The sequence below is a fragment of the Homo sapiens genome, chromosome 9 (genome assembly GCF_000001405.40).
Source record: "Homo sapiens chromosome 9, GRCh38.p14 Primary Assembly".
Lineage (NCBI taxonomy): Eukaryota > Metazoa > Chordata > Mammalia > Primates > Hominidae > Homo > Homo sapiens.
This window is the reverse complement of record NC_000009.12, coordinates 39,965,708-39,983,080: the sequence shown is the minus strand read 5'-3', so window position 1 is coordinate 39,983,080 and position 17,373 is coordinate 39,965,708. Positions and strand designations below refer to the sequence as shown.

The 17,373-nt window shown below is 34.8% G+C and overlaps 1 long non-coding RNA gene across 3 annotated transcripts in view; it reads right to left on the bottom strand.

Annotated features, from left to right (window-relative positions):
• The window catches only part of LOC105376050 (uncharacterized), a 108,520-nt gene that overhangs the window by 21,025 nt on the left and 70,122 nt on the right, over window positions 1–17,373 (bottom strand). The gene's annotated exons all lie outside the window — the stretch shown is intronic.

Sequence of the window (17,373 nt, the reverse complement as noted above, 5' to 3'; positions counted from 1 at the left end):
ATGACCCTGCCAAATCCCCCTCTGTGAGAAACACCCAAGAATTATCAATAAAAAAATTAAAAAAAAATAAAAAAATGCAGTCTCTAAATTTTGGGGGAGACTGATTTCAGTAATAAAACTCTAGTCTTCCAAAAAAAAAAAAAAAATTCTTTTAAAACTTCTAATTATTAGGTTTTTTTTTTTATCTCTTCAGTACATCAAAATGTCTGGTGGTAGGAAAATACTGGACTCATATATGACTGTCTACGTGATTTGCAGGGCCCAGTGCAAAATGAAGTGGATGTTGTACCTCGTTCAAAGTGTTAAGCGTTTCAAGATGGCAACAGCAGAGCATTAGGCCAAGTATGAGGTCATTATGTACATGGGTCCTTGTGTGACCACAGAGGTCACAGGAACATGAAGCTAGACCTGAGTGTATATTCAGATAGGTAAATCTTACAGATTTTTAAAACTCAATAAAAGAAAAACTACATTTCATGTGTGAACACAAAAATTGGAATTTAATTGGCAATAGCATTGGGATTTGTGCTCAGAGTCACAGTTTACATCTGACCACAATTTCTATATGAATTTTTTAAGATAAAACAGTAAGAATTTTAAAGAAGGTTTCTGAAATTTAAAAATTATAATAACATAATTAACTTTGATATTTTAATTCCATGTAATTTAAAACATTTAACAGATATATAATGTTCCACTATTAATTTAACTAGATGTATAAAAATAAAACATATATAATAAAAATATTCTACTTATTTTTAAATTATCTATATTATACTGAGTAAAAGAAAATTTAGGAATATAAATAAATGAGCATTTTTGAACATGTAAAAATATTTTCTTGCTGTTTTTAGGAGACTTTTAGCAGGACAGGAGCTTACCTCTCATCTACCTCTGCTTGGACAAACCAGTGATGTGATTTGCAAATAGGCTGTAACTTCACCGAAAACACATCACAGTAAAGAAAGGTAGTGACTTTCAGAGAATTTGACCTAACTTAGAATTTGTAAAAGAGAAAAGCATTGTCCTTATGCCTAAAGTACATGACTGTTTCTTTTTAAGTTACATGTATATTTACCTGACCAATTTGTTTTACTCTGTATTTTAAGTTATCAGGTGAAATGGTTTTGGAATAAATTAATGAGTTGTTTCTTCTGAATAAATGTGCATGTTACAAATGCAAACACGTGTATGTATTATACAACTATGCAGCTTCAAGAGCTGACTTATTTCTATCAGCTTTTTATTCCCTTAAAAAAATCAGGCTACTGAAGCATATTAGAATTTAATTACACCAATTAGTACTGCCACATCAGACATATGATGTGCCTTCAATTAAGAAGTACCTAATGGGTATTAGTACAATTTAGCTTCATAATTAAAGTTCTAAGAACAGCACAAATTAAACATTATGATTACAAAACATTAAAAATCTACTGGTGAAATTAAAGCTGAATATTTAACTTCTCCTTTTGAGCTGATTTTAAAAAAGAAAATCAGGATTATATAAAATGCAATGTTATTATTGAAGCATTCTGAATTTAAAAACAGAAATTAAGCTCACATGCCCATAAATATGTGCATATATAATGATTAAATATTTAGTAAAATACCCAACCTAACACTTGTGCCACCTAATAAGCATTAAAGGTTATCATTTTGGAGTTTCACTTGATTGGGTTTTGTTTTGTTTTGTTTTTTTCATAGAAATATTTGATATATGTGGTCACCACTCACAACTCTTGCTTCAGTGAGCATGGATGACAGGCAGCCCCAGCTACTGTTTTTCTGGTTGTATGACTATCTTTGCACTCAGACCATATTTTCTCTGGCTGTTCCTGGCCAATGACTGAGCATGCTCGGAGTATTGATGAAGGCCATTTTTAAGATTTGTGATAACCTTCCAACAGAAGACTTTGGACTGGAGACTCCTATTGTCCGGGCCAAAACTTCCTAAACTGTGTTTCAGGCTGTGACTCTTTCATTCTCATCCTTCTTCCCCTCCTTTGACAGAAGCCAGGCTTGCATCACTGAAGACTCCCTGCACTTAGATCTGCTTTTTCTTCTTAATCTTTAACTAACGTTCCTCTCATAACCTTTTGAGTGACTTATAATTGCATAGTATCAGCTTCTTGGAAAACCTGACTTGATAAACTATCCTATTTGAAATACAGATATATACGCATTTAACAATTTTTGACATTATTAGCACATTGAGTATTAAATAGTATCTGAAGAGAGATACCTTTAAAAATGAAAACACCTTCCTATTGGGGTTTTCTTCAAAACAAATAGATTATTTTTAAAAAGATTACAACTATAGCAACTTCAGTCTCTCCTGTTTTATCTACTAGAGTGATTTGCTTCCTCTGCCTTTCTTAAAGTGATTGGTTAAAATGTTTTAGCACTTAGCAGTTTCTTCCTAGTTTTGCAGCTATGGCCCTGAAATGGCTTATGAGTAAGGCAAATAGAAGATGTTCTTACTGGGCTAGTGCTTTTATTTCTCTCTTTCGCTTGTTCTATTTTTTAAGTGAAAATGGCATTAGCATCTTATTTGTCAGGCTTTCATTTTCGTGTTTGAGAATTCCACTTGTAGATAACCAATAGCTATAACCTGTTCAGGTCTTTAAAAAATATAGCTTATTGAATGAGCAGTCACACACAAGAAATTCCGTTCTTCCCATAGTCCATCATGCTTTACCCGTATTCAGCTTCTCACTTCTGTATCTAAAAACACTAGATTTTATCATTCTACTTTAAAGTTTCTTTTTTTTTTTTTTTTTTACTTTTCCTAAAATACTCAAATTTCCATAAAGGAACAAGGGATAAAGCTTAAGCATAACTTCAAAAGAGACATAAGCGGGGTGAACAAGATCCAGACACAGGCTCTCTTGATGTAAACATAGACCTTTAACCATGTGCAATCTGTCTATTAAGAAAATAGAGGACTCTAAACACAAAATTAAGAGTATAGTTGTCTCTGTGTGACTGAAAAAGAGTGAAAGATAACTGCAAAATTATTGATACTGTTCTTATGCTTAAATTGGGTTGTGTGCTTACATGTGTTCATTATGTTAATATGTCTCATAGGTTAGGTATCTTAATCAAATATGCAGTTATATAAATACAATACACTGAGATAAGATAACTAGCAACACATTGAAACAAAAAAACGAGAATAGGATTGAATACTGTCACGATCTTTACAAGGCCTGGCCTTTCACTATGTAAATAGATATCTTTTAGTCCAAGAAATCACAGAACTTACACATTTTTAGGAAAAGAAGAAAAAATTCATAGAATAAATTAATTTTATGTCCTGTAAGCAAAAGTCTACTAAGGTGAATTCATAATATCCCATAACAGCAAAAAAGAATGCATTCAGAAGTCCTAAATCTATAAACAATAAAAATAGTTAAGCACATAGAATTTACTTAAGTTCAAAAGCATCATGTTCATTAGACTTATATAATTCTTGTAGCATTTAGTACATCCTGGATAATTCTTATTCCCATTATTTATTGCTAAGCACATTGAAATTTCACATTAATAATATTATTATTTTTTAACTTTCATTTGTATTGTAACTGTTGGTTTTAACTGATGAAGATGCAAAACAAAAATAAACATTCAGGTAAATAACTATTGTCTAGAAAGATCCAACCTGTAAGCTAGCAATATGGTTTGATTCTTTCTTTTAAAGTTATGTTATTATAAGTATATAAGCAATTCAGATAATAGATCCTGGGTTATGATGCATATCCTATTTGCATAAGCTTAATATATTTTAAAGATAACCAAAAAAGATAATGTATAATTAAAACTATAAATAAACACATTACTCAACATAATTACTCCTTAAATATTCAGTCCATTTAATATAGGTCTTTGCTGCCGTAAATGAACTCCCATGAGCTTCTAGAGGACTCGTTTTATTAAATGTTATAGTCTCTGGCTCTGACCAATCATAGCGCTGTAGACACTGTTATAAACAATGTAATAAGCTGCTAAAAAAGCAAGAGGTATTTTTTATTTTTTTGTAATTTGATTTTATTATCATGTTTTCATACCCACACAAAATAATCAATACATTAACATACAACCATCACACATATTCAACAATTATCATAATTTTGTTGTTTCTGCTTAAGGTATCCCTGTTCTCTTCTTGCCAAATTATTTTAAAAATATATCTCAGAGTGTAATTTTATACCTACATACTTAAGGATACATCTCTAGAAAATGCAGATATTTAGTAATACATTTTTACACAGTTAATTTATTTTTCTTCAGGATCTCAATTCAAATATTGTTTGTTATTAAAAAACTGTCTCTAGCATATGTTTTACTATATATTTAAGAATATAATTTGGAAAAAAAAGTCTGACATATAGTCCATGTTCAATTTACCTCTTCAACTAATCTACTAAAAGGAAAAAAATGACACCAATACTTCTTACTCTTCCCTGAAGTTATGTTATGATATTTTTAGATTTTGAAATCCTGTAAAGTGTGCCCATTATTGGTTTCAAGTACATGTTTCCTAACTCATTTCAATCTCTTCTATAATCAAGTGCAAGAGAAAATATAAAATAGGCCCCATGATTGTAGAAATAAAAGTGGAAAAAACTAGCCTAGAGTTCATAAAAGTAGACATATAAAAATCTTAAAATGATAAAGGCCATAATCAATTAATTGAAATTAAAATTATTCCTTTGAGTTATTTTTGGGTATTCTTCCAATTTTAGTTTGTTTGTTTGTTTGTTTGATGTTGCAAATATCACAGTGTATGCCTTCTTTTTTTTTTTTTTTGAGACAGATTCTCACTCTGTCGCCCAGGCTAGAGTGCAGTGGCACGATCTCGGCTCACTGCAAGCTCCGCCTCCTGGGTTCACACCATTCTCCTGCTTCAGTCTCCCGAGTAGCTGGGACTACAGGCGCCCGCCACCACGCCCGGCTTATTTTTTGTATTTTTAGTAGAGATGGAGTTACACCGTGTTAGCCAGGATGGTCTCGATCTCCTGACCTCATGATCCGCCAGCCTCAGCCTCCCAAAGTGCTGGGATTACAGGTGTGAGCCACTGCGCCTGGCCAGTGTATGCCTTCTAAAAGCAGAGTCTGTAGTAAATATATATATAAATGGTAACACAAGCATATAAAATAAAATGTGGCAATTGCTATTCAATGAAAAATACAGGGACATTTGGGAGAGCATAACAAGGGAGTACATACGTGCTGAGATAAATACATTTTTGTTACATGAGTCAGGAGTTAAAGAAATAAATGAAAGATGAGAGATTAGGATATAGAGTATATAGGGTGCCAGTTCATATAACACTTTATATTAAAGGAATTTGAGCTTTTGGTTGAAACAATGGAAGCTATTGGGAGTTTTAAGGGGATTGATATGAAGGAGGTAAAATAGGAGTCTATAGCACTAATCTAAAGTGGTAAGTGAATGGAAGTCAAAGCTATTTAGTGGAGTAGGTTGAACCAAAATTGATGACTAAGTAGGTGGTATCTAAAGGAAAGGAAAAGTTTGAGTCTTGGGTATCTGGCATGCATAGTATACTAACAGTGATATACACAGTTACTTTCAGGCTCACTGAATGAGTAGTGGTCAATGAAACACAGAACAAAGTCATGCAATTCACTTTCAAGTTGTGTTCTTGAAACTTCCCATGGCACCCATGAAGATTTCAAGAGTCATTTGTTATTATATCCCATCTTGACTAATACCAAGTTGTTAGAAAAAAATGAAATACTATTGTAACAATAAGCTAAAATAAGTGGTATTGTCTTAACAATGAGAAAGAGCATGAGGAAACTTAAGATCATAGATGATGAAAACTGTTTCCCCTATCCCCACTCCCAAGAAGGGAGAGGTTGGGATTATACAAAGTGATTAATCTATGTGTTCTTCCCAGAAAAAAAAAAGGCAGAGTTTAATCAAATAACTTTTCCAACCTTTAGTATATGGTTCATTCAAACTGTCTGACCTGTAGTGTTTCAGAATTACCAATGGTCAGTGGTTTCTATGTACTACACCTTATATTTTGCCTTTCTAAATGGGCTATGAGCATTACATGTCTTAGCTCATTTATCTTTTAAATAACTTGAAGAAGCTAGTATTATTATAAGCTTGATTTTGCTGGTGAGAACATTGAGATGTAGAGATTCAGTGTAGCTAGTGTTTGGTATAACTATGATTTAAATTTAGTTCTGTCTTATTATAATATTAAACAAGTATGTGACTTCATAGTGTAATGAGTCTCATTCAAAACATACAGCAGTTGCAGCCTAACATCTTGTTACTTTAGGTGGTGACATAATGTATTGACTCATATTGAGCATTTCTAAGTGTAAGTTTTAAGTAGCTTTTTTTCTTTAGAAAGGTGCTGAAGATAATTCAAATACTTTTTTGCATATTATTTTGTGTCCCTGTAGATTGCTAGGACTATGAGGGCAGGGCCATATATATTGTGTTCATCTCTCTATATTCATTTTCTAATGCTGGTCCAAGAAACAGGTTGAGATGCTAAGTAGGGAGGCCATAGAAAACATCATTGAAAAGATAGCATTTATGCAAAAATTTAAAGGTGGTGAGGGATTAAACATGTAGATATCTGAAAGAAGGGAACCCAGGCAGAGGGAAAAGACGGTGCAAAAGCCCAAGACAGCCCCATATCTGGCTTGTTTGAAGGGGTTCAAGGAAACCAGTGTGGCTGGAGATGAGTGAGGAAGGGGAGTTAACGATGAGCACACAGAAGTAATTTGGGCCTTGATATACGTTTTTAATTTTTAAAAATATATATTATATTTAAATGACATAATAATTGTACATATTTACAGGGTATTTTAAAACTCACACTGCCTTAGAATTTTACCATCAATGAAAGAGAGGGTCACTACAGGTCCTAAGAAGAGAAGTGACACGCTCTTTTATGTAAAAAGGATGACTGTGGATATTGTGTTGGTAACTGACTGTAAGAGGACACTTTTAGGAAAAGTCCCCTCTTTAGATATTGACTTTATCCAAGAGGAAAACAGTAGTAATTCACACCTCAGTAGACATGGTGAGAAGTAGTTGATTCTACATATTATAAAGTCTTTGGGTTTAAGCAACCAGAGGAAGGACTTGCCATCAAATGAAATGGATAAGCATAAACAGGTTTGGTAGTAGCTGGGAGATGGAAATCAACAATTTCTCTTGAGTCATACTTTCTTTGAGATTTCCATTAGGTATCTGAAGTAATCAGAAACTAGCCAGGAAAACTGAAATCATTGAGAATTTAAAACAAAGGGAATTGATACAGGTAATTGATGGTAGAAATAACTTTAAAAAAATTAAAGCCAACCAGGGGACAGTGAGGCAACCTACAATTTAGCAACAATGGGAGGCTACTATCACCTTCCCTTGGAGAACAGGGATAGGAGGCTGTACTACTGGAGCTGCAGGGAGGGATATTTGGGGGAAGCTGGAACCACAGTGGGCCTATGTAAAGGAGCAGGAGCCTGTAAAAAATGTAACTGTTATTAGGGATGACAGGGAGAAAATGAGACAATATCTAGATTTCTCCTTGTTCCTGCCTTTCATCTTTCTACATGTGTCTCCTATTGTTTGAGCCTAACTGGAAGCCAGCTTTCAGAAAATCTGAGCTACATAATCCACAGTGTTCATCCCCTCTGTCTTATGAACTGAACTGGGCAGAGTGAGGAATGGGTCTCAGGAAAAATAGACCCATTATCATCACGACATTCAGGTGGAAGTGTAAAAAATGCAATTGGATTTATGCGTGTGGAATTTGGGATAGAGATATGGCATGGAAATATAAATTTGGGAGTCATTAGCATTTACACTGCATGTAAAACCACGAGATTGGATGAGATAACCAAGGAAAGAAGTACAGAGAAAGATGATGGTGGGGGGAAATAAAATACTGAGGCCTGGAGCATTCCAACATTGAGTCTGAGGAATAGAAGAAAACACTAAAAGAGAGAGAGAGAGAGAGAGGGAGACAGAGAGAGAGAGAAGTATACAAATAATATAAAACCAGGGAGTCAAATGAAGATAGTATTATGAGAATAATCTACTTCAAATGCTGCTGATAAATCAAGTAAGGTGAGAAAAATAACTATAAGATTAACAAAGTGGAGGACAGGTTTAATTAGAGTAGTGGGGGGCAAAAATCTGTATGGAAATGAAATGATTAAAGAGAAAATGCAAGGAGCAAATGACACGGTGACTATAAATTATCCTTTTAAAGAGTTTTGGTGAAAAAGGGATCAAATTCCCTGGTGGTATCTGACAATGAAAATGGGGAAAATGAAGAATACTGGTTGCTTATTTGCTTTTATTTTCTAGTATGACAGAAGTAATAGCTTATTTGTATGATCATGAAATGACCCAATAAAGAGGAAAATTTGATTATGTATAAGAGGGGTAAGTATTGAAAAGTATCTGTCTATAGCCTGTGTAGTCAGAAAGAGTTGATGAACAAGTAAAGGCGTAAGCTTGAGGTAGGTGTATAAACATTTCATTTCTGGCAGTGGTTTTCTTTAAGGAGAGATTTCACTCTGCAAGGAGCCAATTGGCAATGTTTGGAGATGTTTTCTGTTGTCACAACTTGTGAATGGAGTTACTACTAGCATCGAATTGGAGAGGCCAGGGATGTTGCTAAACATCCTGCAACATACAAGGCAACCTTTCCAACACCCCATCCCAAACATAGAATTATCTGGCTCAGTTTGTCCATAGTACCAGAGAAAAGACCCTGCTCTATTAATATGCAGGATGAGTAGTGTGTAATTTTAGATACTGGCGTTAAGTATATGTAGTAGTGGGAGTCTGCATACATTTCCTCTTGATTGTTATTTATCTATCTATGTATTTATTTTTTGACACAGGAAACAAGGTCATCAGCTGGCATTGAGATTGAAGAAAAGTATGTGAGGGGTGTGAAATGAGGAAAGAATCCATAAGTTAATCTTACATAAGAGGAAGAAGGCAATGGCTAACAAAAGAAAAATGGGCTTGTTTGGCCGCCTTAAAGGCACATTTGCTTTTCAAGGTTGTGGTTTTAAAGAGATAACAATCAACACAATTTTGTTGTGTGTTTTTCTCCCACTGCAGTTTGGGCATAAAAGCAATTCCAAAATTGATGGAGACATGCATGAAACTAAGGCTATCGTTTTGCTAAGTCAGTCATGTTTAGTAGATAGAAATTTATTTGATGACCAAGGATGGCACAAAATGTTTAAAAGACTGAATATGTGACATAATAAAGCACATTTATGAAACAGTAAATTGCTTTTCATAAAGGTGGATTATTTGATGTATCTTGAAGAAGAAATAACAACTGTGAATCAAATATTTATTTATGAAATTGGCAGAGAGTAAATGATTAAAGTTTTAATGATCAGATTGTCATTTTAGAGTAATTATCATTATACAACAGTGAAGAAAAGTTTGAAGAAGTTAAATTATAGAAAAAGGATGCTATTGTTTTAAATTAATGCACTGGTCTAGCTGTGATTTCATTAAGATGATTTCATAACTGTAACAGTAACAATAGGAATATTGAGGACAAGAATGTTGAGGACAGGAATTAAAGAGAAATTTATTGGTTGAAATAAATTAGGTTTTTAGATTCATTATGATTAATGTTTAAGAAGGAATATATAATTTCTAGTCAACATATAATAATGCAAATTTAACACATAAGAAATATTGATAGAAAAAGGGTTCTACCTTAAACATATTGCTAGACCATGTGAGAGAGTTCTGTAGAATAGATTCAAGAATGGTGTGGAAAGGGGTGGTACCTCCTGATCAATTTTCTCCCCTGATGGGGGCAGGTGTGGAGGAAAACTCCTGGGAAATAAAGAAGTCAGGTGTTCTGGTTTAATTTTTCTGCAAACATATTAATGCAAGTCTCTTAGAAAATAAACTAAATAGTTTTTGGTAGCCAAAGAATCATTCTTCATAAAATGTTTCTAGCAGACCATGCAGAGTTGTCTAAAATTGCTTATGAAAAATAAGCCAGGAATCAATAAATGTAGGGTGATGATTCCCAAGAAAATGTCACGTTAGCTGTGTTGCTATCTAAGTATAAAAGGAGATGGTTTGTAACTGAGAATACACCTGAGTAAGTAAAGCAACTGTACATTTTACTTAGAAACCAAATCTAGAAACTTGGATGAGACCACATTCAATGAAGATGAAAGGACACAGGTCTCTCCCCACTTAACCCATACATGATTATTTTATCTTTGAAATTATTCAGAAAGCATGATACTGAGCAAAATCTTCAATGTGAGTCCGATTTGACAATTCAATGCTTTTTGTGGGTTCAGATTGGCACTGAGAGCAGGATTGTCTTTTAGACCCACACACCAAAATAGTGAATGTTTTCTTTTTCTACCTGGGCTCCTTTTCAAAAGGAAATAATGGAAAAATATGAGAATTTGTTCTCAGGATAGTTGGCTGTACATTTTTGGTATGAGGTAGTGGAATCTTTGAGGCAGGTTAAGGGAAATAAGTCTTACCATTGAAATCTGGGGGCCATAGACTACAGTCTGGGAGTACGGGTCTAGGGAGTACATGGACAAAGGGAAATTGGGTGCAAATCCCATTGACTGACTCCTGCTAGCATACCTGTAAAAGCTAACCTTTTAATAGGTTAGTTTTTAATAGGAGGAGATGATAGTGGGAGAAAAAGCTGCGAGATTACATTTTATTCACTGGAAAACCTTCTTATCCCTCCCTGGTTTCTTGGAGAAATTTCATGTATCCTTAGAAATGACTCAAAATATTGATTATTGGACAAACTATTTATGTAACCGGAGTCCAAGGACAGGTGATGAGTGAAAACTATATTTTATTAAAGAACAGAGTATTCACTAACAGAAGACTGGTGAATTAACATTGGCATGGATTCTTCAAATTAATGATGGAGGACATGTTGCAATTCTATTATTATCTGATGCAAAGGACTATTCATGGTCATGGCTAATCATTAAATGGCTGTAAACTTTTGAGAAAACACTTCCAAATACTGTGACAGCATATCGGCTGCAGTTGTTAAGGTGAGATTTGTCAGTCCTATACTGAGAAGGGTAACTGCTACTACTCCTCTCCAAATTGCCAATTGGATTCTCCTTTTCACATGATAGGAATGATACAAGTGTAAATGTTGACAGGCTTTATATTTTCCAGAGAGAAAACACCTTAGTTAATGCTATTGATACAAATAATAAGAGATAGAGTGAATGGGATAAGCTAATGATTCTCTGTCTTACAAGACTTATATAACCTTGAGGGCCAAATATATATATTCAGAGAACAGTAACAAACATACAGGTTTAGTTACTATACATGGGATTATACGGAGAAAAAGCATTTATATCATGTGCACAACAGGGAGAAATTAAAAATCAGAAGAGAAAATAGAAAGGCAGCTCACTTGAATTAATTTACTTTTGAAGAAAATATAAATAGGATTTAAAAAGTAAGCCTTGATAGAATTTTTAATAAGAAAATAAAAGCACATTATCAACTTTTGAATCAGAGGAGAGGAGTACTGTAGCCCCCACCAATCCCTTAAAGAATCATAGAAAATTTGCTTTATTTATTGTGGCTGAAAGAGTTCAAATCCAATTATGAGGATAGTGATATAGAACAGAACATACTTGAACAGGGGGCTGAGTTTACTGCCTTAATTAAAGCCGTAGAATCTGAAAACAATTAAATAAAGAACTGAGGTCTGTTCATTCCAGCCCCAGTCATGGATCTGAGGCCATATATATAATTTGAACAAAGTTACCTGGGGTGGTATTCAAAGTTTCTTATCATTGGTAGGATGTAGAGCAGAATTTACAGTAGGCCTTATGGAAGGTAGGAAAGAGTCTCATACATGCTCTAAGTGAAATCTGGAGTGCATGAAGAGAACATCAGGGAGGAAACCAAGGTAAAGATGAAGTTACAGGTTGAAATGTGTGGTTGGAGAGAATATTACCTGCTTGTGCTACCTTTACATAAATACAAAATTGCAATTGTCATTCAGTATGAATGGGACATTGTCGTCTTTGTGTTTCCACAGAGGATGAAGACTGAGCTCACTCTTCACCAAATTTTAATCAGCTCTGCCAAATGGGATCCTTTGGAATTGCTCAAGCTCTCCACAGTAGTAAATATTAAGCAATGCAGAATTCCAAGGGCGCAATAAGAGACTACTGTTGTAATTAAGAAAATGGTTCAGAAGGAAGTTCCCCTCCCCACATTAACTTCCTTTTTGTAGTTCTAACTGGTCAATAAGTAGGTAGCCCCTGGACATTTACAGTAGAGTATCAAGGTGGTTCATTTGCGTGCTTCATCTGTACCTGATAGGATGAAGAATGTACAGAAAATAAAGTAGACAAGAGGCTCTGATATGTTATCAAGATTAACTACATAATTCATAGAGCTGAGTATAAAATGAAAATGCATGGATACTTACTCAAAAATTATTAAGAATTTCCAGATAGCTACAACAGAGCATTAAACCAATCTCAGGGGCCTCCTAAGAGTTTTTTTTTTTAAATTTCAAGTAGGAAAATTTTAAGCTTTGCAGAATAGAAACAAGTATATGTTTACTGTCTTATCATGGATTTTAAAAAAATTCATTATCACATTTCCATAATCTGGTAAAGAATAACCTAAAAGATAGAGTTCATCTACTACTTTCATGGTATGATGATAATTTTCTTCTCAGAGCAAAAATTAGGAGAGGAGTTAAGGACCATAGTCACCTGTATTACAAATAGAAGCTGGCTGATAAATCCAGCTAGAATTTAAGGCACAGCCCAAGGTGCAAATTAATTCCTGGAAATTAGTACAGATCAACTTAGGACATTCCTTAAACTCCAACTAAATCCTATAAATTAGTGCAGATCAACTTAGGACATTCCTTAAACTGTGAGAAGTAATTTATATTTCATAGGACCCACCAATAAGCAATAAACTCAGAGACTGTCAAGACTGTTCTAAGAATCTTGTCTACCCATACTCACAAAATAACTGGAAAGAGTTCAGAACGTGAATACAGCATTGTAGTACTTTCCTAGGGCTGCTGGAACAAATTACCACAGACTGGGTAGCTTAAAACAACTGAAATTTATTATTTCACAGTTCTGGAGGCTAGAAGTCTGAAGCCAAGGAGTCAATAGGGTCACGCTTCCTTGAAAAGCCACAGAAAAAAATCTTTTCTTGCCCCTGCCTAGGTTCTACTCTCTCCTACAAATTTTTGGAGCTTTATTACTTATAGATTTATTACTCCAATTTCTGCTTTCATTTTCAATCTCTTCTCCATGTGTCCTCTCTTCTTATAAAAACACCTCCAGTCATTGGAATTAGGACCCTCCTTAATCTAGTAGGAGCTCATCTTAACTAATTGTATGTGCAAATTTCTAAAGAAGGTCACCTTCTGAGATTCTGAATGAATAATAATTTCAGAAGAGCACTACTTAACTCACTGCAGGTACTGAACAGAAATAAGCATGAAAAGTATCGTGGTAGGTGGTAGCACAGGCAATAACATTAGGCCCTTATGATCCCATCCAACTGGTCAGATGATATTAGGGCATACCCAAACTAGAGCCCTTTAGGAAAAGTTAAATGAGACCACCAATTTAGACTCCTTAGGATTTTGACTCAAAATATGCCTGTGGCAGCTGTTTGCTATAATCCATTTGAAAGACACATGCTGTTGCACTGAATGACACAGCCAATGTCAACAGGAAGGACCAGCTACATAACTTCTGTAACCCAGTGAAAAATGAAAAGCAAGGCCCCTTGCTCAAAAATTATTAAGGGTTCATTTAGTGAAACCATTGCGTCCTGAGACTAATATGAGAAATAAATAACAAAATCCACTGTGCCTTACTAATATCAAGAGGTAATAATGAGGGAGTGAAGGAGAATGCAATAATATATAACTTTATATCTTTCCCACCTCTAATACTTTTATTTGGCCTCTAATGGCGGTCTCAAACCCAGTTTTAAATTTACTTGCACCAGAGGAAGATTATACAATACCCAAGACATGATATTTGTGTCATTTAATTTGACTGTGCCTTTTCTGAAAGGTAATTTGTGGTGGATCAAAAGTTCCTTCCTATGTAACCAATTAGGGCTAAAGGTGAAGGTAGCTCCATTATCAAGCAGAGGAGAGACTTCTGAGGTCCTTTGTCTGTCACTTATAACATTTGTTTGACAACAAACCCCATGACACAAGTTTACCTGTGTAACAAATCTGCACATGTACCCATGAACTTAAAATAAAAGTTAAACAAACAAACAAATAAAACCCAAACATTTGTTTGGGTGTGCTAGTAAGGTTCTTGTTATTGATTGTGCGGGCAAACATTATGCATGATGAGTTATACAGCCTGATATTGGGAGGAAGCATTTGGAAATAGGGTAAAATCATAGCAGATGGGAAAGGTGTTTATAAGTAGATTACATTACCGTGGAGGGAAGCCACTACAATATTTTCATGCAAACAGCTCAGAGTGAGGATATCATACTTAACTATCTTTTGCTATTGTCATCCAAACAAATGGGCTTTGTTGGTGAAAATCTCTTGGCCTGCTTACTGCAGAAAAGGAAAATTGGACTCCTACTGATTTGGATGTTCTACCTGTATAATTTGAATAAAACAGATGACAAAGTGCCCCCTGACAACTCAGCTTGTGTGTAGTTGACTACAGTTATCACTCAGTTTCTAGGCTTTGTTTACCATTCTAGATTATTTTTTTCCAGAGAAACTACCAATGAATTGTACAGAGCAGAGGATGCTGTAGAATAGAATTTCTGCACCCTATATGGCCATAAATCAAAATGATACATTGCTAAGACAGCTCCCTGGTTATGATAGAAAGCAGATAGTGGCTGCCTGTCTGGTATGTCACAGCTTGATCTGGTCTGTTGCTTTGAACATATCAGTGTGAATGTAAATGGAATTAATTTAAATAATATAAAACTAGAACCTAGAAAGCCTCAGAGAATGTGATTTTATGTTTGCTTTAATGCTTTAAAATTATAAATAACTCCCTCAAGAGGTAAGTAGAGGACATTTAAGGGAAGCCTATGGCACAGCCAGATAAAACGGTATCTGGTGCTAGGATATACCTAATTGAGAATTTCATGAAGCACATTATTTGTAGGTGTAGACAATGCTTTCAAACTAGACACATTTAATTAGCACATAATATGAACTACATGAGTGGCAAGTTAAGCAGCACTGGCCCCTTTGCCAGGCATTTTGAAAGAATTACAGGATTTGGTCATGTGATATTAAATCTAATTGAAGTAGTGTTCTAGGAGGCCCATCATTATGATAAAAATGACTTGCTACTTCAAATAGGGACACTAGAGGAAGCTGTTTTTAGAGGACTCAGTTGTAGTAGAAAATCAGTTTGGTTTAAGACAATGCTTGAACCGAAGACACTGAATAAATAATGACTTCCATGCTTATTAACAACACTAGGATTAACTTTGTACCTTTAGTCAGGAAGGACTATTGGATATATTAATCACTATGGGATATTATGTCTTTAATGTTGAGTTGCAGGAATTCATAAAGAAACAAGCTCAACGTCGGGCGCAGTGGCTCACACTTGTAAAATCCCAGCACTTAGGTAGGCTGAGGAGTGTGGATCACCTGAGGTCAGGAGTTCAAGACAAGCCTGGTCAATATGGCGAAACCCCGTCTCTACTAAAAATACAAAATTAGCCAGGCATGGTGGCAGGTGCTTGTAATCCCAGCTACTCGGGAGGCTAAGGCAGGAGAATTGCTTGAACCTGTGAGGTGAAGGTTGCAGTGAGCCGAGATTGTGCCACTGCACTCCAGCCAGGTGACAAGAGTGAAACCCTGTCAAAAAAAAAAAAAAGAAAGAAAAAGAAAAAGAGAGAGAGAGAGAGAGAGAAAGAAAAGGAGAAAGAGAGAAAGAAAGAGAAAGAAAGAAAGAAAAAGAAAGAAAGAAAGAAAGAAAGAGAAAGAAAGAAAAAGAAAGAATTTGAAGAAGTAAAATTATGGGAAAAACGTGTTTAGTCTAAGTTATGGCAAGGTTTCACTGAACACTGTGACCTTCAGTGTTGCTCCCTGACAACCCTGGTAATATGGATGAAAAAGAAGTTTATCTCCCGTGTGTGGAATTCATAGAAAGTGGATGAATAAAGAACAATCCTTTGACATATGTAGGCCATGGGGTGTGGATGGGCTCTTTGACATAATGACCCCTGAAAATTAGTGTTTGTACCAACCTGGAATATACCTAAAATACAGTTCATAGAAACAAATTTTTTTCAGAAAATTTGATTTGAGAAGAAAAAATATGTATTCAATTAAATACTCCCATAGGCCCATGGAAAATGATGCAAATAATTGAGGTTGATGGAGGAAAAAGGTAATTGAGTTTGTGAATGAACATCAAGAGACTTGTAAAGGAAGATGTTAATGAGTAACATGCTTTGTGGAGGGAATTCCTACTCTCTGTTGGATGGTTCAAATCAAGGTCAGAGTATTAGTTGGCTTAAGTGAAACACTGCAGAAAATGGTGTAAGACAATAATGATAATACACCAGCAATATTTGGCACTAAGATGTTGACCAAGGCCAGAGCAGATTGGGAAGGAAAGGGTCTTTGATTCTTTCTGATTACTGAGATGCCCTGCCAGGATCCACAGAAGGAAGGAAGCCCATTTTGCTTATATAAACATACTAATGACAGCTCCTGACAAACAATTTGTTTTTTTGCTGGCAGGAGAGTGATTATCTATCACAGAAATGCTTTTAGCAGAATGTACTTGGTCGTTTAGAATTGCTTATGGTTAACAAAGTAGAAGGTTGTGGATTTATGGGGCTCCCTGGAAAATGTCACATATACCACATATGTAACTATCTGCATAAAAATTAAGATATTTGATAATTGAGACAGGTATCTCCATGTAAATAAATTGTCTGCATACCTCTCTAGAAGTCTCATCTATCTGCCTGGGCAAGGGAGTATCTAATGACAGAACCAAGGATCTAAAGAATCAGATTAAGAGATCTAAATAATTCTCTGATTTGCCTATGCCTAATGATTACCTGAGTTCGTGAAATTACTAGTAAAGCTTTATATTTTGTAAGATCTTAGATTCTGATAAGTCTAATGTCACAATCCAATCAGTTTTTCCTATCTCAAGGAATCATGTCCATATAATGGAATTAATCCTGAAACTCTGAAAAGTTTTAATATTCTGGGGTCAGGGTAGATGAGAAGGAGTCTCCATATGACTTATAAACATGTAAGGAGAAATAGTAAAATTGTTGTAAAATTAAAAGAAGAACAG